Source organism: Homo sapiens, chromosome 19, assembly GCF_000001405.40.
Source record: "Homo sapiens chromosome 19, GRCh38.p14 Primary Assembly".
In the NCBI taxonomy this organism is placed as follows: Eukaryota; Metazoa; Chordata; class Mammalia; order Primates; family Hominidae; genus Homo; species Homo sapiens.
Genome location: NC_000019.10, coordinates 10,362,222 through 10,383,394, shown reverse-complemented (window position 1 = coordinate 10,383,394; position 21,173 = coordinate 10,362,222). Strand labels below are relative to the sequence as shown.

At 53.0% G+C, this 21,173-nt stretch overlaps 1 protein-coding gene across 20 annotated transcripts in view, besides 4 other annotated features; it reads left to right on the top strand.

The window, feature by feature from the left end:
• Positions 2,194–2,857: an enhancer, noted in NCBI's record as "H3K27ac hESC enhancer chr19:10491214-10491877 (GRCh37/hg19 assembly coordinates)". NCBI's record gives its function as "activates a minimal SCP1, AML or CMV promoter by ChIP-STARR-seq in primed H9 embryonic stem cells {active_cell/tissue: H9 hESC(primed)}" and the evidence as "EXISTENCE:reporter gene assay evidence [ECO:0000049][PMID:30033119]".
• Positions 2,194–2,925: a biological region, named in NCBI's record as "H3K27ac hESC enhancer GRCh37_chr19:10491214-10491877".
• Positions 2,766–2,925: an enhancer, noted in NCBI's record as "active region_13961". NCBI's record gives its function as "activates an Ori minimal core promoter by ATAC-STARR-seq in GM12878 lymphoblastoid cells {active_cell/tissue: GM12878}" and the evidence as "EXISTENCE:reporter gene assay evidence [ECO:0000049][PMID:35858748]".
• TYK2 (tyrosine kinase 2) overlaps positions 2,823–21,173 on the top strand; it is a 30,040-nt gene continuing 11,689 nt past the window's right edge. For 12 of the 20 annotated variants that reach the window (NM_001385207.1, NM_001385202.1, NM_001385200.1 and 9 more), the window contains exons 1-11: positions 2,823–3,015; positions 3,616–3,780; positions 4,969–5,181; positions 14,977–15,100; positions 15,193–15,340; positions 16,815–16,978; positions 17,497–17,878; positions 18,347–18,544; positions 18,624–18,781; positions 20,738–20,846; positions 20,939–21,131. In NM_001385207.1, the coding sequence (NP_001372136.1) occupies positions 4,989–5,181; positions 14,977–15,100; positions 15,193–15,340; positions 16,815–16,978; positions 17,497–17,878; positions 18,347–18,544; positions 18,624–18,781; positions 20,738–20,846; positions 20,939–21,131 (1,669 nt within the window). In that variant the 5' untranslated portion in view covers positions 2,823–3,015; positions 3,616–3,780; positions 4,969–4,988. Of the gene's footprint in view, positions 3,016–3,615; positions 3,781–4,968; positions 5,182–13,616; positions 13,639–14,631; positions 14,864–14,976; positions 15,101–15,192; positions 15,341–16,814; positions 16,979–17,496; positions 17,879–18,346; positions 18,545–18,623; positions 18,782–19,106; positions 19,309–20,737; positions 20,847–20,938; positions 21,132–21,173 lie in introns of those variants that run through there. The other 8 variants (NM_001385199.1, NM_001406461.1, NM_001385205.1 and 5 more) reach the window with 7 other exon arrangements.
• Positions 18,837–19,337: an enhancer, noted in NCBI's record as "H3K4me1 hESC enhancer chr19:10474734-10475234 (GRCh37/hg19 assembly coordinates)". NCBI's record gives its function as "activates a minimal SCP1, AML or CMV promoter by ChIP-STARR-seq in naive H9 embryonic stem cells {active_cell/tissue: H9 hESC(naive)}" and the evidence as "EXISTENCE:reporter gene assay evidence [ECO:0000049][PMID:30033119]".

Here is a 21,173-nt window from a genome sequence, read left to right as displayed (position 1 = left end):
CTGAGGTCAGGAGCTCGAGACCAGTATGGCCAACCTGGCCAAACCCTGTCTCTATTAAAAATACAAAAATTAGCCAGGCGTGGTGGTGCACGCCTGTAATCCCAGCTACCGGGGATGCTGACGCAGGAGAATTGCTTGAACCTGAGAGGCAGAGGTTGCAGTGAGCCAAGATTGCGCCACTGCACTCCAGCCTGGGCAACAGAGCAAGACTCTGTCTCTTTAAAAAAAAAAAAAAAGAAAGAAACTTCCCATGAAATGTCAGGTTGCAATAAGGACTCTGAAGAAAATACAGCAGAGCCCAGGAGGTCAAGTTGCCCAGGCTGGAGTGCAGTGGTGTGATCACGGCTCACTGTAGCCTCAACCTCCTGGGCTCAAGCAATCCTCCCACCTCAGCCTTCGGAGTAGCTGGGACTAACTAATTTTTTTTCCCCCCGAGATGGAGTCTCACTCTGTAGCCCAAGCTGGAGTGCAGTGGTGGGATCTCAGCCCACTGCAACCTCCACCTCCTGGGCTCAAGCGATTCTCATACTTCAGCCTTAGACTAATTTTTTTTATTTTGGGTAGAGATGGGGTCTTGCTATATTGCCCAGGTTGGTCTTGAACTGGGCCCAGACAGTACTCCTTCTTTAGCTCCCTGAAGTGCTAGGTTTATAGGGATGAGCCACTGCATCCAGCCAGGACAAGTCTCTATCAGCATTTTATTTTATTTTATTTTATTTTATTTTTGAGACAGAGTCTCACTCTGGCGCCCAGGCTGGAGTGCAGTGGCGCAATCTCGGCTCACTGCAAGCTCCGCCTCCCCGGTTCACGCCATTCTCCTGCCTCAGGCTGCCACTACGCCCAGCTAATTGTTTGTATTTTTAGTAGAGACGGGGTTTCACCGCCTTAGCCAGGATGGTCTCGATTTCCTGACCTCATGATCCGCCCACCTCGGCCTCCCAAAGTGCTGGGATTACAGGCGTGAGCCACTGTGCCCGGCCTCTATCAGCATTTTCTTTCTTTTTCTTTTTCTTTTTTTTTTTTTGAGACAGAGTTTAGCTCTTGTTGCCCAGGCTGAAGGGCAATGGTGTGATCTCGGCTCACTGCAACTTCTGCCTCCCAAGTTCAAGCGATTCTCCTGCCTCAGCCTCCTGAATAGCTGGGATTACAGGTGCCCACCACCATGCCCAGCTAATTTTTGCATTTTTAGTAGAGACAGGGTTTCACCATGTTGGCCAGTCTGGTCTTGAACTCCTGACCTCAGGTGATCCGCCCGCCTCCACCTCCCAAAGTGCTGGGATTACAGGTGTGAAAGAGACCATTCCCGATCTCTTTCAGCATTTTCATACTGAATGTCCACAGCTGCCCTGTGAGGAGGCTTTTTACCCATATTTTCTGACTCAGAGAGAAGCAGCCACATGTCCCTTGGCCATGGCAGTTAAGACCAACTCCATGGAGCTGGGTGTCTTAGCTCACATCTGTAATCCCAGCACTTTGGAAAGCCAAGGCAGGATGATTGCTTGAGGCCAGAAGTTCAAGACCAGCCTGGGCAACATAGCCAGACCCCATCTCTACAAAAATTTAAAAATTAGCCACAAAATTTAAAAATTAACAACAAAAGGGCCGGGTGCGGTGGCTCACGCCTGTAATCCCAGCGCTTTGGGAGGGTGGATCACGAGGTCAGGAGTTCGAGACCAGCCTGGCCAAGATGGTGAAATCCCATCTCTACTAAAAATACAAAAATTAGCCGGGCGTGGTGGCGGGCGCCTGTTGTCCCAGCTACCCAGGAGGCTGAGGCAGGAGAATCGCTTGAATCCGGGAGTCTGAGGTTGCAGTGAGCCGAGATCGCAGCATTGCACTCCAGCCTGGGCGACAAGAGCGAAACTCCATCTTAAAAAAAAAAAAAAAAAAAAGTGGAAGATGAGGAAGTTGATCAGACATCAAGGATGAGCGGATGACTTAATAGGCTTCTTTGCTAAGACTTGGCTGGGCAGGTGAAAGACAAAGTCGAGGAGTGGTTATGGTGTGGCACAGAAGAAGGGTCAGAGGACGGTCTTTGTTACCTCTTCATGCCTGAGTTTCTTCCTCTGTGAAATGGGGATAATAAGAGCCGCCATACAGGGAATTGCTGCTAGGATCAAATGAGATAATGTATGTGAAACGCTCTGGCTGTAGGCTTCTCAGCAAATGGGCACGACTTGCGGAGTGGGGATTTGAATTCACGTCTGGCGGGATGTCCAAGCTGCTACCCTGACCGCTAGGGAGCTTCAGAGGACAGGGCTGCAGGTGATCAGGAAGAGGACTGGGGCAGGTGGGCGAGGAATGCCTCCCAGGAGTGAAGGAGGGGGAATTCTAGTCAGCAGGATGGAGTCGGCCAGGTAGAAACGAGGGAAAGGAGACAGGACCGGATGGAACGGGGAAGCCAAAGGGCAGGGCGTCGGAGGGTTGAATGGTGGCCGGTGCAGCTTTGAACACCGAGGTGAGGACATGCAGCTGTGTCCTAGGGTCAGGACCGTACACGCCTGACCCAATTCCACAGCACGGAGGGGAACTCCAGGATCCGGCCGCGTTGCCCACACACTTCGCTCTCCCTCCCGCCTCTCGCAAGCCCCTCCCCCGTCTCCGTCCACCGAGTGCCAGCCAATAGCAGAAGCGACAGCGCATCTGGGTGCCGACTCAGCCAATCGCGGCTGAGTGACGAATGAGCCCCAGGACCAATGAGAGTGCCGCCACCATGGCAAAAAAAAAAAAATCCAATGGTGACGAGCAGGGAGAACAGAGCAGCTGCCAATGGGCGTGTGCGTTTCAGGCGGCCAATGGGAGGAGGCGTCTCGGCGGGGGACAAGCAGTAGCTACCCGCGGGAGCGGGGAGGGGTCCGGGTTCGAGCTTGTGTTCCCCCGGAAGGGTGAGTCTGGACGCGGGCGCGGAAGGAGCGCGGCCGGAGGTCCTCAGGAAGAAGCCGCGGGGACTGGCTGCGCTTGACAGGCTGCACTTGGATGGGAGCACCTGGTGCCTCGGGACTGCTCCGATGCCCGGTGGGTGCACATCCCAGTTCCCGCCGTTGCCGGCCGGGTTTAGAGGTTTTGGGGGGAGGACATGGGGGCGTGCAGCCTTCCCAGTTGCAAACTTCACTCCGACCCTGTCTTCAAAGCTGGGTCTGGGTCCAGTGGGGACGAGAAAGGAGGAAGGAGGAAGTAGGCTCCGCGAAAGCCCCATCCCCGGGATCTCATCTATAACATGAATAGGTATTAATGGCAAAGGCTAATTAAGCGCTTACTGTATACCAGGCACTTTCTCTGCCTCCTCGCGTTAAATCCTCCCAGCAGCCTTTTGAGGTAGACACTGTTACATGCCCATTTTCCAGATGAGGAAACCAGCAACATGGGTGGAAGTGACAGCCCCTCCACTTCCATACTGGCGCCCTCAGGAGGCTCAGGCCCTGGATTGGGGGGATGGAGCTGGACATAAACTCTCCTAGGCTTTGGGGAGTCAACAGGGACTGAGGTCACTCATGGGGGTAAATGTGGGAGAGGAGAATTGTGGCCTGAAAGAGGCCATCACCACGATGAAACTAATAACAATTATGTTATTCTTGTTTTGGTCATATTTGTTCTTTTTGTGTGTGCCTGAATCAGGGTCTGTGCTGAATGTGTAATATGCGGAACTATATTGAAACATTACAACCATCTTTTGATGGCAACACCCTGAGGACCTCCCTTTTCCAGATGGGGAAACTGAGGCCCAGAATTGCTAAGTGGCTTGCTTGAGTTGACACAGGGAGCTCCAGGACTCACCCTCAGGTATGTTTGACCACATCTGCCTGTCTGGTTATTTTGGGGAGGTGTGTTAAGAGCAGATTTTTATTTTACTTTTTATTTATTTATTTATTTATTTATTTATTTATTTATTGTATTTTAGTAGAGATGGGGTTTCACCATGTTGGTCAAGATGGTCTCAATCTCCAGACCTCGTGATCTGTCCGCCTTGGCCTCCCAAAGTGCTGGGATTACAGTCATGAGCCACCGCGCCTGGCCCTTTTTATATATTTTTATTACTTATTTATTTATTTATTTATTTATATTTTTAGAGTCAGGGTCTCACTCTGTCACCCAGGCTGGAATGCAGTGGTGCGATCACTGCTCACTGCAGCCTCCAACTCCTGGGCTCAGGAGATCCTCCCACTTCAGCCTCCCGAGTAGCTTGGAGTACAGATGTGCACCCCCACGCCTGGCTAAATTTTAAAAATTTCTTGTAGAGGCCGGGCACAGTGGCTCACGCCTGTAATCCCAGCACTTTGGGAGGCCGAGGCGGGTGGATCACCTGAGGTCAGAGGTTCAAGACCAGCCTGGCCAACATGGCAAAACCCTGTCTCTACTAAAAATACAAAAATTAGCCCGGTGTGGTGGCAGGCGCCAGCTACTCAGGAGGCTGAGGCAGGAGAATCACTTAAACCCAGGAGGCAGAGGTTGTGGTGAGCAAGATTGTACCATTGCACTCCAGCCTGGGCAACAAGAGTGAAACTCTGTCTCAAAAATAAGATAAGATAAGATAAGATAAGATAAGATAAGATAAGATAAGATATAAAATAAAACGTCTTGTAGAAACAGGGTCTTGCTATATGGCCTAGGCTGGTCTCGAGCTCCTGGGCTCAAGCAATCCTCTTGCCTCAACATCCCAAAGTCCTGGGATTAGAGGCGTGAGCCACTGTACCTGGCCAGAGCAGATTTTTATATCTGTGTCAATTTGTGGAAAGAGAGGAGGGTTCAGTGTTATTGTTGATGAGAGATCTAGGTGGGGATGCATACCCCAACCCTGTCCAATAAATGTGGAAAACGAGACTCAGAGAGGGAATCGGGTCTCTAATGTCATGCCAAGATGGGAGCCCAGAATCTTCCCCTCAGGCCTTAGCTGGGGTGGGTGGAAGGTTGAAGAGCTAACAGGGGTCTCTGGGCTGAGACTTGGGAGCTGACAGATTGTCCCCTTTCCAGCTGAGCCACCTGCCGGGAGCATGCCTCTGCGCCACTGGGGGATGGCCAGGGGCAGTAAGCCCGTTGGGGATGGAGCCCAGCCCATGGCTGCCATGGGAGGCCTGAAGGTGCTTCTGCACTGGGCTGGTCCAGGCGGCGGGGAGCCCTGGGTCACTTTCAGTGAGTCATCGCTGACAGCTGAGGAAGTCTGCATCCACATTGCACATAAAGTTGGTGAGTCTGGGGCGTTGGCACCATGGGGACTGGGGTGGGTGTGCAAGCAGCAGCTGGGCCCCATCCATCCGTCTATCCACCCACCCACCCATCCACCCACCCATCCACCCACTCATCCATCCATCCATCCATCCACCCATCCACCCACCCATCCACCCTCCCAACCACCCATCCATCCACCCACCCACCCATCCATCCACCCATGCATCCATCCATCCTCCCATCCACCCATCCACCCACCCATTCACCCACCCATTCACCCATCCACCCACCCTTTCACCCATCCACCCATCCACCCATTCATCCACCCACCCACCCACCCATCCATCCACCCACGCATCCATCCACCCACCCACCCACCCATCCATCCACCCACGCATCCATCCATACATCCACCCACCCACTCATCCATCCACCCACCTATCCACCTATCCATCCACCTACTCACCCACCCATCCACCCACCTATCCACCCACCCACCCATCCACCCATCCATCCACCCACCCATTCATCCATCTATCCATCCATCCACCCATCGATCCATCCATACCCACCCATTCATCCATCCACCCATCCATCCACCCACCCATCCACCCATCCATCCACCCATCCATCCATTCATCCATCCATCCATCCACCCACCCACCCATCCATCCACCCACCCACCCATCCATCCATCCATCCATCCACCCACCCACTCACCCACTCACCCACCTATCCATGCATCCATCCATCCACCCACCCATCCATCCTCCCACCCATTCATCCATCTATCCATCCATCCATCCATCCATCCATCCATCCATCCATCCACCCACCCACCCACCTATTCATCCATCTATCCATCCATCCATCCATCCATCCATCCATCCATCCATCCATCCATCCACCCGTTCATTCGGTGAACATTTTGTAAGCATCTACTGTGTGGCAGCTGCAAATCACTGCCTTTGTAGAGCTGAAATTTTAGTAGGGAGGACAGCAAGAAATATAATAAATCAGAAAACTTGGCCAGGTGCAGTAGCTGACACTTGTAATCCCAGTACTTGAGGAGGCCCAGGCAGGAGGATTGCTTGAGGCCAGTAGTTGGAGACCAGCCTGGGCAACATAGGGAGACCTTGTCTCAACAAAATAATTTTTAGAAATTAGCCAGGCATGGTGGTACATGCCTGTAGTCCCAGCAACTTGAGAGCCTGAGGCAAGAGGATCGCTTGAGCCCAGGAGTTCAAGCCTGCAATGAGGTATGGTTTCGTCACTGCACTCCAGCCTGGGTGACAGAGTGAGACCCAGTGTCATTAAAAAAAGAAAGTCAGGCCGGGCGCGGTGGCTCATGCCTGTAATCCCAGCACTTTGGGAGGCTGAGGCTGGTGGATCACTTGAGGTCAGAAGTTTGAGAGCAGCCTGGCCAACATGGCAAAACTCCAGCTCTACTAAAAATACAAAAACTAGCCGGGCGTGGGGTGCGCACCTGTAATTCCAGCTACTCAGGAGGCTGAGGCAGGAGAATAGCTTGAACCTGGGACATGGAGGTTGCAGTGAGCCGAGATCACAGCACTGCACTCCAGGCTGGGTGACAGAGCTAGACTCCGTTTCAAAAATAAAAAAAGGCCAGGTGCGGTGGCTCATGCCTGTAATCCCAACACTTTCAGAGGCTGAGGCGGGCAGATCACCTGAGATCAGGAGTTCAAGACCAGCCTGGCCAATGTAGTGAAACCGCATCTCTACTAAAAATACAAAATGTAGCCAGGCATGGTGGCAGGTGCCTGCAATCCCAGCTACTCAGAAGGCTGAGGCAGGAGAATAGCTTGAACCTGGGACATGGAGGTTGCAGTGAGCCGAGATCACAGCACTGCACTCCAGGCTGGGTGACAGAGCTAGACTCCGTTTCAAAAATAAAAAAAGGCCAGGTGCGGTGGCTCATGCCTGTAATCCCAACACTTTCAGAGGCTGAGGCGGGCAGATCACCTGAGATCAGGAGTTCAAGACCAGCCTGGCCAATGTAGTGAAACCGCATCTCTACTAAAAATACAAAATGTAGCCAGGCATGGTGGCAGGTGCCTGCAATCCTAGCTACTCAGGAGGCTGAGGCAGGAGAATTGCTTGAACTTGGGAGGTGGAGGCTGCAGTGAGCTGAGATCGTGCCATTGTACTCCAGCCTGGGCAACAAGAGCGAAACTCCATCTCAAAGAAAAAAAAAAAAAAAAAAGAAAGAAAGGCTTTCCCTCCTCCTGCACAGGAAATTGCACTTCCAAATATATCTACTACAGTCTTTCTTTTTTTCTTTTTTTTGAGATGGAGTCTCGCTCTGTCCCAGGCTGAAGTGCAATGGCGCAATCTCAGCTAACTGCAACCTCCGCCTCCCGGGTTCAAGCGATTCTCCGGCCTCAGCCTCCCGAGTAGCTGGGACTACAGGTGTGTGCCACCATGCCCGGCTAGATTTTTTTTTTTTTTTTGTATTTTTAGTAGAGGTGGGGTTTCACCGTGTTAGCCAGGATGGTCTTGATCTCCTGACCTCGTGATCTGCCCGCCTCGGCCCTCCAAAGTGCTGGGATTACAGGTGTGAGCCACCATGCCCGGCCCAATTTTCTTTTTTTAATGACATAGGGTCTCACTCTGTCACCCAGGCTGGAGTGCAGTGGTGTGACCTCAGCTCACTGCAACCTCCATGTCCCAGGTTCAAGCCATTCTCCTGCCTCAGCCGCCTGAGTAGCTGGAATTACAGGTGCACACCCCACGCCCGGCTAGTTTTTATATTTTTAGTAGAGCTGGAGTTTTGCCATGTTGGCCAGGCTGGTCTCGAACTTCTGACCTCAAGTGATCCACCTGCCTCAGCCTCCCAAAGTGCTGGGATTACAGGCGTGAGCCACCATGCCCAACCAAGGAAAGGCCTTTCTAAGGCGGCTTTGGTTACATATACCTTCCTCCAGAAACTCCTCTTACCTCCCCCATTCCCAGCTTTCCATGACTGGATGGGGGCATTGTAATCAATTTTTATAACACTTCCTACTTCCCCATTGATGGCTGAGTCTTTTTTTTTTTTTCTTTCGTAGAGACAGTCTCTCTCTTGCCCAGGCTGAAATGCAGTGGTGCAATCATGACGCATTGCAGCCTCTAACTGCCCAGGCTCAAGTGATTTTCCTGCCTCAGTCTCCCAAATAGCTGGGGCTACAGGCACATGTCACCACACCCGGATAATTTTTGTATTTTTTGCATGTTGCCTCATGCTGGTCTCAAACTCCTGGGCTCAAGCCATCCACCCGCCTTGGCTTCCCAAAGTGTTGGGAGGCATGAGCCATCGCGCCTGGCCATGACTGATTTTTTTTTTTTTTTTGAAACGAAGTCTCGCTCAGTCCTCAAAGCTGGAGTGCAATGGCACAATCTTGGCTCACTGCAACCTCCGCCTCCCGGGTTCTAGCGATCCTCCTGCCTCAGCCTCCTGAGTAGCTGGGATTACAGGCGCCTGCCACCACGCCCAGCTAATTTTTGTATTTTTAGTAGAGACGGGGTTTCACCATGTTGGTCAGGCTGGTCTTGAACATGCATGCTGTTCCCCCTGCCTCGGCCTCTCAAAGTGCTGGGATGACAGGTGTGAGCCACCGTGCCCGGCTTTTTTTTTTTTTTTTTTTTTTGAGACGGAGTCTCGCTCTGTCACCCAGGCTGGAGTGCAGTGGTGTGATCTCGGCTCACTGCAACCTCCGCCTCCCGGGTTCAAGTGATTCTCCTGCCTCAGCCTCCTGAGTAGCTGGGATTACAGGCGCCCACCACCACACCTGGCTAATTTTTGTATTTTCAGTAGAGACGGGGGTTTCACCATGTTGGCCAGGCTGGTCTCGAACTCCTGACCTCAAGTGATCCACCTGCCTCAGACTCCCAAAGTGTTGGGATTACAAGTGTGCACCCTCGAGCCTGGCCATGGCTGATTCTTTGTTTTGTTTTGTTGTGTTGTTTGAGACAGAGTCTCGCTCTGTCGCCCAGGCTGGAGTGCAGTGGCGCGATCTCAGCTCACTGCAAGCTCCGCCTTCCGGGTTCACGCCATTCTCCTGCCTCAGCCTCCCGAGGAGCTGGGACTATAGGCACCCACCACCACGCCTGGCTAATTTTTTGTATTTTTAGTAGAGACAGGGTTTCACTGTGCTAGCCAGGATGGTCTCGATCTCCTGACCTCGTGATCCGCCCACCTCAGCCTCCCAAAGTGCTGGGATTACAGGTGTGAGCCACTGTGCCCGCCCCCATGACTGATTATTAAAGGATTCAGACAGGTGTGCGGGTGATGTGAAACACGCTCAGCAGAGGGAACAGCATGCATGGAGGCCCGGAGAGCTTGATCTGTTTGAGGAAGCGAAAGACCTTCAGGGTGACTGGGGTATCAATTTTGAGAGTTTGGAAGGGGAAGTAACAATTGAAATTGGGGCATAGCAGGCAAAAGCCAGGGTGGGGGTACTCAGAATCAAGGGTCAAGGGGTTGGGCATTCTCCGGGAGCAATGGGGAGCCATGGAAGGTTTAAGCCAGAGAGTGAAGCAGTCTGACTAGTTCTTTTATTTTTATTTTTTATTTTTGACTGGTTCTTTAAGAAGTTGTCTCAAGCCAGGCACAGTGGGTCACGCCTGTAATCCCAGCACTTTGGGAGGCTGAGGCGGGCAGATCACTTGAGGTTAGGAGTTTGAGACCAGCATGGCCAACATGGTGAAACCCCGTCTCTACTAAAAATATAAAAATTAGCTGGGCGTGGTGACGCACATCCCAGCTACTTGGGAGGCTGAGGCAGGAGAATCACTTAAACCTGGGAGGCGGAGTTGCAGTGAGCCGAGATCGCACCACTGCACTCCAGCCTGGGTGACAGAGACTCGGTCTCAAAAAACAAAAATATGAAACATTGGCCAGGTGCCGTAGCTCACACTTGTAATCCTTGCGCTTAGGGAGGCCAAGGCGGGTGGATCACTTGAGGTCAGGAGTTGGAGACCAGTCTGGTCAACATGATGAAACCCCATCTCTACTGAAAATACAAAAAATTAGCCGGGCGTGGTGGCGGGCGCCTGTAATCCCAGCTACTCAGGAGGCTGAGGCAGGAGAATCGCTTGAACCCAGGGGGTGGAGGTTACAGTGAGCCGAGATCACGCCACTGCACTCCAGCCTGGGCAACAAGAGCAAAAACTCTATCCAAAAAAAAAAAAAATACAAAAAATTAGCTGGGCATGGTGGCACATGCCTGTAGTCCCAGCTACTCAGGAGGCTGAGACAGGAGAATGACTTGAACCTGAAAGGCAGAAGTTGCGGTGAACCAAGATTGCAACATTGCACTCCAGTCTGGGTGACTCCATCTAAAAAAAATATATATTGTTTCACAGGGAGGTATCCTCCCTTCACAGAGGGGCAGTATAATTCCATGGTGTGACTTTGGAGAGTGATTTGATAACACAGTCAAAGCTGGATGCAGTGGCTCACGCCTGCAATCCCAGCAGTTTTGGAGGCTAAGCGTGGAGGATCACTTGAGCCCAGGAGTTCAAGATCAGCCTGGGCAACATCGCGAAACCCCGTCTCTACTAAAAATACAAAAAATTAGCCAGGTGTGCTGTGTGCTGGTGTGCACCTGTAGTCCCAGCTACTCAGGAGGCTGAGGTGGGAGGATCACTTGAGCCCGGGAGGTTGAAGCTACAGTGATCATGCCACTGCCCTTCAGCCTAGGTGACAGAGCAAGATGCTGTCTCAAAAAAAAAAAAAAAAAAAAAAATATATATATATATATATATATATATAGCTGTGTGTGGTGGCGTGTTCCTGTATTTCCCAGCTACTCAGGAGACTGAGGCAGGAGGACTGCTTGAGCCAGGGAGGTCATGGCTGCACTGAGCCATGATTGCACCACTGTATTCCAGCCTATATGTCAGAGCAAGATCCTGCTTCAAAAAAAAAAAAAAACCCAGGCCGGGCGCCGTGGCTCACGCCTGTAATCCCAGCACTTTGGGAGGCTGAGGTGGGCGAATCATGAGGTCAGGAGATTGCGACCGTCCTGGCTAACACGGTGAAACCCCGTCTCTACTAAAAAAATACAAAAAAATTAGCTGGGCATGGTGGCGGGCGCCTGTAGTCCCAGCTACTCGGGAGGCTGAGGCAGGAGAATGGCGTGAACCCAGGAGGCAGAGCTTGCAGTGAGCGGAGATTGAGCCACCACACTCCAGCCTGGGCGACAGATCGAGACTCCGTCTCAAAAAAAAAAACAAAAACTCAGAAACATCTTCCCTGAGGCCATATAGTTCCACTCCTGGACAGTGACAGTCACTCTATAAACAGTCAGCTCATGTGCTCCCAGGGACACTTATGAGAATGTTTAGAGCCGCCTTGTTTATCATATGGAAAAGGGGAGACCATTGCAAAGTCCCTCAATAAGAGACTGCCTAAGTAAATTGCAATCTGGTTGAATACTGGACTACTGCGCAGCCGGGAGAAGGAATTTAACCAGAATTACTCATGTCATTCTGCATGAAGCTTTATAACCTCTCGTAGCCTGAAAAAGCACATTGCAGAGGGACGTCTGCAGTATAATACCACACATTTACAGTTCATAACTTTTTTTTTTTTGAGACAGAGTTTCGCTCCTGTTGCCCAGGTTGGAGTGCAATAGCACGATCTCAGCTCACCGCAACCTCCACCTCCCAGGTTCAATTCTCCTGCCTCAGCCTCCCGAGTAGCTGGGATTACAGGCATGCGCCACCACGCCCAGCTAATTTTGTATTTTTAGTAGAGACGGGGTTTCTCCATTTTGGTCAGGCTGGTCTCGAACTCCCGACCTCAGGTGATCCGCCTCCCTCAGCCTCCCAAAGTGCTGGGATTACAGGCGTGAGCCACTGTGCCCAGCCACAGTTCATAACATTTAAGGCTAGATTGTAGAGGATATGAAAATTATAAACACTACTTCAGGGCAGAGCACACTGGCTTATGCCTGTAATCCCAGCACTTTGGAGGCTGAGTAGCTCAGCCTCCCAGCTACTCAGGAGGCTGAGGTGGGAGGATCACTTGAGCCTAGGAGTTTGAGACCAGCCTGGACAACATGGTGAGACCCCTTCTCTACAAAAACTACAAAAATCAGCTGGGCATGGTGGCGTGCGCCTGTAGTCCCAGCTCCTTGGGAGGCTGAGGCAGGAGGATTGCTTTAGCCCAGTAAGTCGAGGGTGCAGTGAGCCATGATCACACCACTGCACTCCAGCCACACCTGGCTAATTTATTTTATTTTTAGTTTTTTTAGAGATGAGGGGTCTCACTATGTTGCTTAGGCTGGTCTTGAACTCCTAGGTTCAAGTGATTCTCCCGCCTTAGCCTCCCAAAGTGCTGGGATTACAGATGTGAGCCACCATACCCAGCTTTAGATAAAATTATTTATTTCATTTTATTATTATTTTTTTAGACAGAGCCTCACTCTTTCACCCAGGCTGGAGCGCAGTGGCGTGATCTCGGCTCACTGCAACCTCTGCCTCCAGGTTCAAGCAATTCTCTTGCCTCAGCCTGCTGAGTAGCTGCGATTACAGGTGCTCACCCCCACACCCAGCTAATTTTTGTATTTTTAGTAGAGACGAGGTTTTGCTCTGGTGGCCAGGCTGGTCTCAAACTCCTGCCCTCAAGTGCTTCACCTGCCTCAGCTTCCGAAAGTGCTGGGACTATAGGCATGGGCCACTGCACCCAGCCAGATACCATTTTTTTTTTTTTTTTTGAGACAGTCTTGCTGTGTCGCCAGGCTGGAGTGCAGTGGCACAATCTCGGCTCACTGCACCCTCCACCTCCCGGGTTCAAGCGATTGTCCTGCGTCAACCTCCGGAGTAGCTGGGACTAAAGGTGCACCCCACCATGGCCAGCCAATTTTTTTTTTTCAGATCTCACTCTGCCGCCCAGGCTGGAGCTCAGTGGCACGATCTTGGCTCACTGCAACCTCCGCCTCCCGGGTTCAAGCAGTCCTCCTGCCTCAGCCTCCCAAGTAGCTGGAATTACAGGCACATGCCACCAGGTCCAGCTATTTTTTTTTTTAATAGAGATGGGATTTCACCATGCTGGCCACGCTGGTCTCGAACTCCTGACCTCAAGTGATCCACCTGCCTCAGACTCCCAAAGTGTTGGGATTACAAGTGTGCACCCTCGAGCCTGGCCATGGCTGATTCTTTGTTTTGTTTTGTTGTGTTGTTTGAGACAGAGTCTCGCTCTGTCGCCCAGGCTGGAGTGCAGTGGCGCAATCTCGGCTCACTGCAAGTTCCACCTCCTGAATTCACACCATTCTCTTGCCTCAGCCTCCCAAGTAGCTGGGACTACAGGCATCCGCCACCATGCCTGGCTAATTTTTTGTATTTTTTAGTAGAGACGGGGTTTCACCATGTTAGCCAAGATGGTCTTGATCTCCTGACCTCGTGGTCTGCCCACCTCAGCCTCCCAAAGTGCTGGGATTATAGGCGTGAGCCACTGCGCCCGGCCGACAGGTACAATTTTTAAATGACATCAGTAGAAGAAAGATACCCTGGGTAGCTGGTGTGGGAAATTACAGCAAGTCTGGAGACTGGATTGGGGTTGAGGTTTGCATTTGAAGGTGGTGGATGGAGCCCCAGGACATGGAGGGTGCAGGAAGAGCAGGTCTTGGTGACCGATCTGTTTTGGAGCAGGTGGGAGAGGTTGAAGATAAGGACCAAGTTCCTGGTTTGAAGAACTGGGCAGAAGCCACACACCCTGGCTCATAGCCATAATCCCATCAACTCCAGAGATTGAGGTGGGAGGATCGCTTGAGCCCTGGAGGTTGAGGCTGCAGTGAGCTAGGATTGCACCACTGCACTGCAACCTGGGTGGCAAAGAAAGACCCTGACCCTTAAAAAAAAAAGGGCAGAGGAAGGGAAGGTTGGAGTTTGCCAACCACAGATAAGATATGTTGTTTGGAACAAGCCATATCTAAGGGGGGGCCTGTGATGTCCAGGGGGAGACAGCCAGGAGGTGACTGGATGTTTCTTTGGGGCTGGAGTTCAGGGAGACGCCAGACAATTGCAGCAGTTTGTAGAGTTATGTGGGTCAGGCTAGGATTAGTTTTGCTGCAGGAATAAGCAATCCCCCCAAATCTTAATCAAGGTTTACCTAAAATCGGCCGAGCACAGTGGCTCATGCCTGTAATCTCAGCACTTTGGGGGGCCAAGGTGGGCAGATCACCTGAGGTCAGGAGTTTGAGACCAGCCTGGCCAACATGGCGAAACCTCGTCTCTTCTAAAAATACAAAAACTAGCCGGGGTTGGTGGCGCACACCTGTAATCCCAGCAACTCAGGAGGCTGAGACAGGAGAATCACTTGAACCCAGGAGGCGGAAGTTGCAGCGAGCCAAGATCGTGTCACTGCTCTCCAGCCTGGGCAACAGCAAGACTCCATCTCAAAAAAAAAAAAAAAGTTTTACTTAAAATCAAGTACAGGTTGGATGGTTCACCTCTGTCTTACAGCTTCACCATCTGTCACAAGAAGCCTTCATCATACCTCGGGTGGTGAAGGTGGCAAGAGAATTTATTTCCAGGCTTGGAAATGTACCCAGCCCTTTGGCCAGAAACCAGCAGTGCAATTGGCTCCATCCTAGCTGCAAGGGAGGCTGGGAAATGTAGTCCTCCTGTGAGGCCACAGCATGGGCAACATACGCACTGTCCTCTGCCCAGGGGCAACGTGAGACTGAAGCTGCAGGTGGGGGAGGGGGCCTCAGAGGGAGTGTGAAGGCAGACATTGGGTCTGGGGGGTCTTTGGGGCTGACGGTAGCAAATGACGTGACTCCTGACCTCGTTTCTCACCTGATCCAGGTATCACTCCTCCTTGCTTCAATCTCTTTGCCCTCTTCGATGCTCAGGCCCAAGTCTGGTTGCCCCCAAACCACATCCTAGAGATCCCCAGAGATGCAAGCCTGATGCTATATTTCCGCATAAGGTGGGTGGAGACCTTTGCAAAGCTCGTCCCCTCCTGTGCTGAAGCTGGTCTGACTCTGTGCTAAGCCCCAGCTGCGTCCCTCCTTCCTGCAGGTTTTATTTCCGGAACTGGCATGGCATGAATCCTCGGGAACCGGCTGTGTACCGTTGTGGGCCCCCAGGAACCGAGGCATCCTCAGATCAGACAGCACAGGGGATGCAACTCCTGGACCCAGCCTCATTTGAGTACCTCTTTGAGCAGGTATGAGCAGGGCTGGGGTGGCAAGACTATTTGTGGGAGACTTAGGGGCAGTTGAGGAGCCCCCATTTCCCTCCCTGATTCAATATAGCTAATAGGTTTCAACTCATGCTATCTGGGGATCTTTTTTTTTTTTTTGAGACGGAGTCTTGCTCTGTCGCCCAGGCTGAAGTGCAGTGATGTGATCTCGGCTCACTGCAAGCTCCGCCTCCCAGGTTCCCGTCATTTTCCTGCCTCAGCCTCCCAAGTAGCTGGGACTACAGGCGCCCGCCACCATGCCCAGCTAATTTTTTGTATTTTTAGTGGAGACGGGGTTTCACAGTGTTAGCTAGGATGGTCTCCATCTCCTGACCTCGTGATCTGCCCGCCTCGGCCTCCCAAAGTGCTGGGATTACAGGCGTGAGCCACCGCTCCCAGCCGATCTTTTTTTTTTGAAATGGAGTCTTGCTCTGTGGCCCAGGCTGGAGTGCAGTGGCGTGATCTCAGCTCACTGCAACTTCCACCTCCCAGGTTGAAGCGATTCTTCCACCTCAGCCTCCCAAGTAACTGAGATTACAGAAGCCCGCCACCACCCCAGGCTAATTTTTCTATTTTTAGTAAAGACGGGGTTTCACCATGTTGGCCAGGCTGGTCTCAAACTCCTGACCTCAAGTGATTCACCTGCCTCAGCCTCCTAAATTGTGGGATTATAGGTGTGAGCCACCATGCCCAGCCAAGAGTTCAGGTTGAAGGGGATAGAGTGCTGTGATTGATTAGTAATGTCTGCCACAGGCACAAGATTGACAAGAGGAGGGGTGTATGCTGTGTATTTGGCCTTTCCAGTAAATGGTGGTCTCTCCCCTCCTCAAGGTGGTAAGACGCAGGAAATTAGAGTTCTCTGGCTAGAGTAAGCTTGTCCAACCCCTGGCCTGCGGACTGCATGCTGCCCAGGACAGCTTTGAATGAAGCCCAACACAAATTCATAAACTATCTTAAAATATTCTGAGATTTTGCTGTGATTTTTTTTTTTTTTTGAGACAGAGTTTCATTCTTGTTGCTCAGGCTGGAGTGCAATGTCATGATCTCAGCTCACTGCAACCTCTGCCTCCCAGGTTCAAGTGATTCTCCTGCCTCAGCCTCCGGAGTAGCTGGGATTACAGACATGCGCCACCACACCTGGCTAATTTTGTATTTTTAGTATAGGCGAGTTTTCTCCATGTTGGTCAGGCTGGTCTCAAACTCCTGACCTCAGGTGACCCGCCCGCCTTGGCCTCCCAAAGTGCTGGGATTATAGGCGTGAGCCACCATGCCCGGCTTGCGATATTCTTTTTTTTTTTTTTTTTTTAGCTCATCAGCTATCATTAGTGTTAGTGTATTTTATGTAGGGCCCAAGACACTTCTTCCAGTGTGGTCCAGGGTAGCCAGAAGATTGGATACCTCTGGGCTAGAGAGGAACGCATTCTCACACCTCCCTTTCTGCTCAATTTCCTGTTCCCAGGGCAAGCATGAGTTTGTGAATGACGTGGCATCACTGTGGGAGCTGTCGACCGAGGAGGAGATCCACCACTTTAAGAATGAGAGCCTGGGCATGGCCTTTCTGCACCTCTGTCACCTCGCTCTCCGCCATGGCATCCCCCTGGAGGAGGTGGCCAAGAAGACCAGGTGTCTGGGAATGGGGTGGGGACGCTGTGTAGGCAGGGGGAAATGTCCTGAGCATCTGGGAGCCAGGGTAGACTTTGCATATTGCCGTGCCTCTACTTTTTTTTTTTTCTGAGCCGGAGTCTCTCTCTGTCACCTAGGCTGGAGTACAGTGGCGCAATCTTGGCTCACTGCAACCTCTGCGTCCCAGGTTCAAGAGATTCTCCTTCCTCAGCCTCCTGAGTAGCTGGGATTACAGGTGCCCACCATCAAGCCCAGCTAATTTTTGTATTTTTAGTAGAGACAGACTGAGTTTCATCATGTTGGCCAGGCTGGTCTCGAACTCCTGACCTCAAGCGATCCTTCCGCCTTGGCTTCCCAAGTAGCTGAGACTACAGGCTCAAGTCACCACACCTGGCTAGTGTGCCTGTTTTCCAGATGAGGCAGCTGAGGCTCAAAGAGGTTAAGCCACTTGCCCTGTGTCACCCAGCTGGGCCTGCAACCCAGGTCCCTGACCAGCCCCTCACTGTGTTTCCCCCCAGCTTCAAGGACTGCATCCCGCGCTCCTTCCGCCGGCATATCCGGCAGCACAGCGCCCTGACCCGGCTGCGCCTTCGGAACGTCTTCCGCAGGTTCCTGCGGGACTTCCAGCCGGGCCGACTCTCCCAGCAGATGGTCATGGTCAAATACCTAGCCACACTCGAGCGGCTGGCACCCCGCTTCGGCACAGAGCGTGTGCCCGTGTGCCACCTGAGGCTGCTGGCCCAGGCCGAGGGGGAGCCCTGCTACATCCGGGACAGTGGGGTGGCCCCTACAGACCCTGGCCCTGAGTCTGCTGCTGGGCCCCCAACCCACGAGGTGCTGGTGACAGGCACTGGTGGCATCCAGTGGTGGCCAGTAGAGGAGGAGGTGAACAAGGAGGAGGTGAGCAAGGCGCCCCTTCCGCCCTGGGGGTTCAGGTTGGGCTGGGGTGGGTTTCTGTGTTCATCCTTGACCCTAGCCTCTGAGGGTGGCTGACCTGAGCCCTCTCCCCACATGGCTCTGGGGCACCTGTCCGCTAGGGCCAGTTTCTTGGAGAAGGTCCTCCATCTGCTTACCCCCTGGGGACCTTATTTCTGGGGTCTGCACCTCCAGGGAACCCCTTCATCTGGGGACTGGCACCTGGGTGTGAGGGGGTCAGGATTCTTCTCTCTGCCTTCCCTAAGGGTCCGGCTTCCAGCATGTGTATGATTTTGGGGTGGGTCCCCATCCCACCTGTGACACTGGGACTTGGGAGGTCAACCTAGGTTGGTGCCTGGCCCTTCTGGCTCCAGTCTCTCCCCAGGGGAAAGTGCAGGAGGTATAAACGGGCATTGCCCTCTCCATCCTCTGCCCCACTTGCTGGGTGTTCAGGGTTCTAGTGGCAGCAGTGGCAGGAACCCCCAAGCCAGCCTGTTTGGGAAGAAGGCCAAGGCTCACAAGGCAGTCGGCCAGCCGGCAGACAGGCCGCGGGAGCCACTGTGGGCCTACTTCTGTGACTTCCGGGACATCACCCACGTGGTGCTGAAAGAGCACTGTGTCAGCATCCACCGGCAGGACAACAAGTGCCTGGTGAGGCCCAGGGTAGGGGCTGGGCTAGGGCCCATCATGGCCTGGGAGGACACCCACCTGATGCGCCCCTGGCTGGCAGGAGCTGAGCTTGCCTTCCCGGGCTGCGGCGCTGTCCTTCGTGTCGCTGGTGGACGGCTATTTCCGCCTGACGGCCGACTCCAGCCACTACCTGTGCCACGAGGTGGCTCCCCCACGGCTGGTGATGAGCATCCGGGATGGGATCCACGGACCCCTGCTGTGAGTGCTGGGTGGGGGGCGCTGGGGGCCACCGCCAAGGGTGCCAACTAGACTGTGAGCCCTAGGGGCTGTGCAGGGTGTGTGTGTAGGTGCACGTCTTATTTTTTTTTTATTTTTTGTCGCCCAAACTGGAGTGCAGTGGCATGATCTCAGCTCACTGCAGCCTCCGCCTCCCGGGTTCAAGCGATTCTCCTGCCTCAGCCTCCCAACTGACTACCTGGGACTACAGGCACTCGCCACCATGCCAGGCTAATTTTTGTATTTTTGTAGAGATGGGGTTTCATCAGATTGGCCAACCTAGTCTTGAACTCCTGACCTCAGGTGATCCACCCGCCTCGGCCTCCCAAAGTGCTGGTATTACAGGCATGAGCCACCACGCCCGGCCATGACTGTCATTGTGTGTTGAGGTTGTCATTGCACAGAACTGGTGATTTTCATGGGACTGTGTGTTACCCTGACGCTGGTGACCATTCAGGCGTATGTTGGATGCTTCCACCTCTGCAGGCGGCTGCCTGTGCTGGTAACTTGTGAGTCACCATCTCAGCGGGGTCCTGTGTGTGACTTGTGGGCCTGAGGGCGTGAAGTTGTCGGTACTTATGTCATCATCAGGTGCAGGGGAGTGTGTGGCTGTCCTGTGTGCTGCCAAGTCGTGATTTGTGACTGTCTCTTTGTCTGGTCACTGGCCCTGTGACTCTCTGTCCCTTGTCCTACCTGTGATGCCAGGGGAGGGGGAAGTGGCCATTTCACCTTGTGAGGCCTGTGGCCGTGCCTGCTGTCAAGGCTATATGTGTGCTGCCCCCGTACAGACAGGTGTTTGGGGACCACGTGTGTCAGCCACTGCACATGTAGGTGTCTGGACCTATGTGACCATGACACTTTATAGTGCATGTTTGTGTCACCTCTGTGTCTGGGATGCCCTGGCCCCTATGTTGCCCTGTCATATTGGGTGATTAGTTGTGTCTGGGATCGTTGTCCTTTGCTTGTGTGATTGGCCATCCACCGTGTGTCACCCTTGTGAGTGGCGATGGTCATGGCTGGGTGTGTGCCCATCCGGCTCCTGATGGCTGTTTCCAATCTTGGAGTGTGTGTCACCTTGTCAGGGCCCGTCTGGCGTCAAGTACAAGAGTAGGAGTAGGCTGGGTGTGGTGGCTCACACCTGTAATCCCAGCGCTTTAGGAGGCCGAGGTGGGAGAATCACTTGAGCCCAGGAGTTCAAGAGCAGCCTGGGCAATGTAGCAAGGTCTTTTAACTACAGAAAACACAAAAATTAGCTGGGCACACCTGTAATCCTGGCTCCTCAGGAGGCTGAGGTGGGAGAATCTCTTGAGCCTGGGAGGTCCAGGCTGAAGTGAGCCAAGATTGCACCGCTGCACTCCAGCCTGGGCAACAGAGCAAGACCCTGTCTCAAAAAAAAAAAAAAAAAAAAGAGAGATCAGGTAGCCGGGCACAGTGGCTCATGCCTGTAATCCCAGCACTTTGGGAGGCTGAGGCTGGCAGATCAGCTGAGGTCAGGAATTTGAGACCAGGCTGGCTAACATGGTGAAACCCCCTCTGTACTAAAAATATAAAAATTAGCTGGGCATGGTGGCAGGGACCTGTAATCCCAGCTACTCGGGAGGTTGAGGTGTTGAGGCAAGAGAATTGCTTGAACCCAGGTGGGCAGAGGTTGCAATAAGCTGAGATCACGCCATTGCATTCCAGCCTGGGTGACGAGGGAAAATCCGTCTAAAAAATACAAACAAATAAACAAAAAAGCAGGTGTGTGCCTGCTGCTGCATTGTGTCTCCATGTAAGTGGCTGTGTGTCCAGAGTTAGTGTCCCCACAAGAGTGGCTGTGTCTGACACTTGTCCTAGCTGTGTGTGTGCCCTCTAAGTAGGTAATGAGTGTCATTGTTCCCGGGTATGGGTCCAGAGTGGCCCCAGGTGGCCTGATAGTCCCCCTGGACCACCTTCCAGGGAGCCATTTGTGCAGGCCAAGCTGCGGCCCGAGGACGGCCTGTACCTCATTCACTGGAGCACCAGCCACCCCTACCGCCTGATCCTCACAGTGGCCCAGCGTAGCCAGGTGAGCCCAGGGCTGGGGGCTGGGGCTGGGGCTGGACACGTTCCCTGCCTGGTCCCCTGCTTACTGCTCCCACCTCTGCCACCTCCTGCCAGGCACCAGACGGCATGCAGAGCTTGCGGCTCCGAAAGTTCCCCATTGAGCAGCAGGACGGGGCCTTCGTGCTGGAGGGCTGGGGCCGGTCCTTCCCCAGCGTTCGGGAACTTGGGGCTGCCTTGCAGGGCTGCTTGCTGAGGGCCGGGGATGACTGCTTCTCTCTGCGTCGCTGTTGCCTGCCCCAACCAGGAGGTACGATGATAGGGGGACCTCTGGGTGGGATGTGGCATCTCT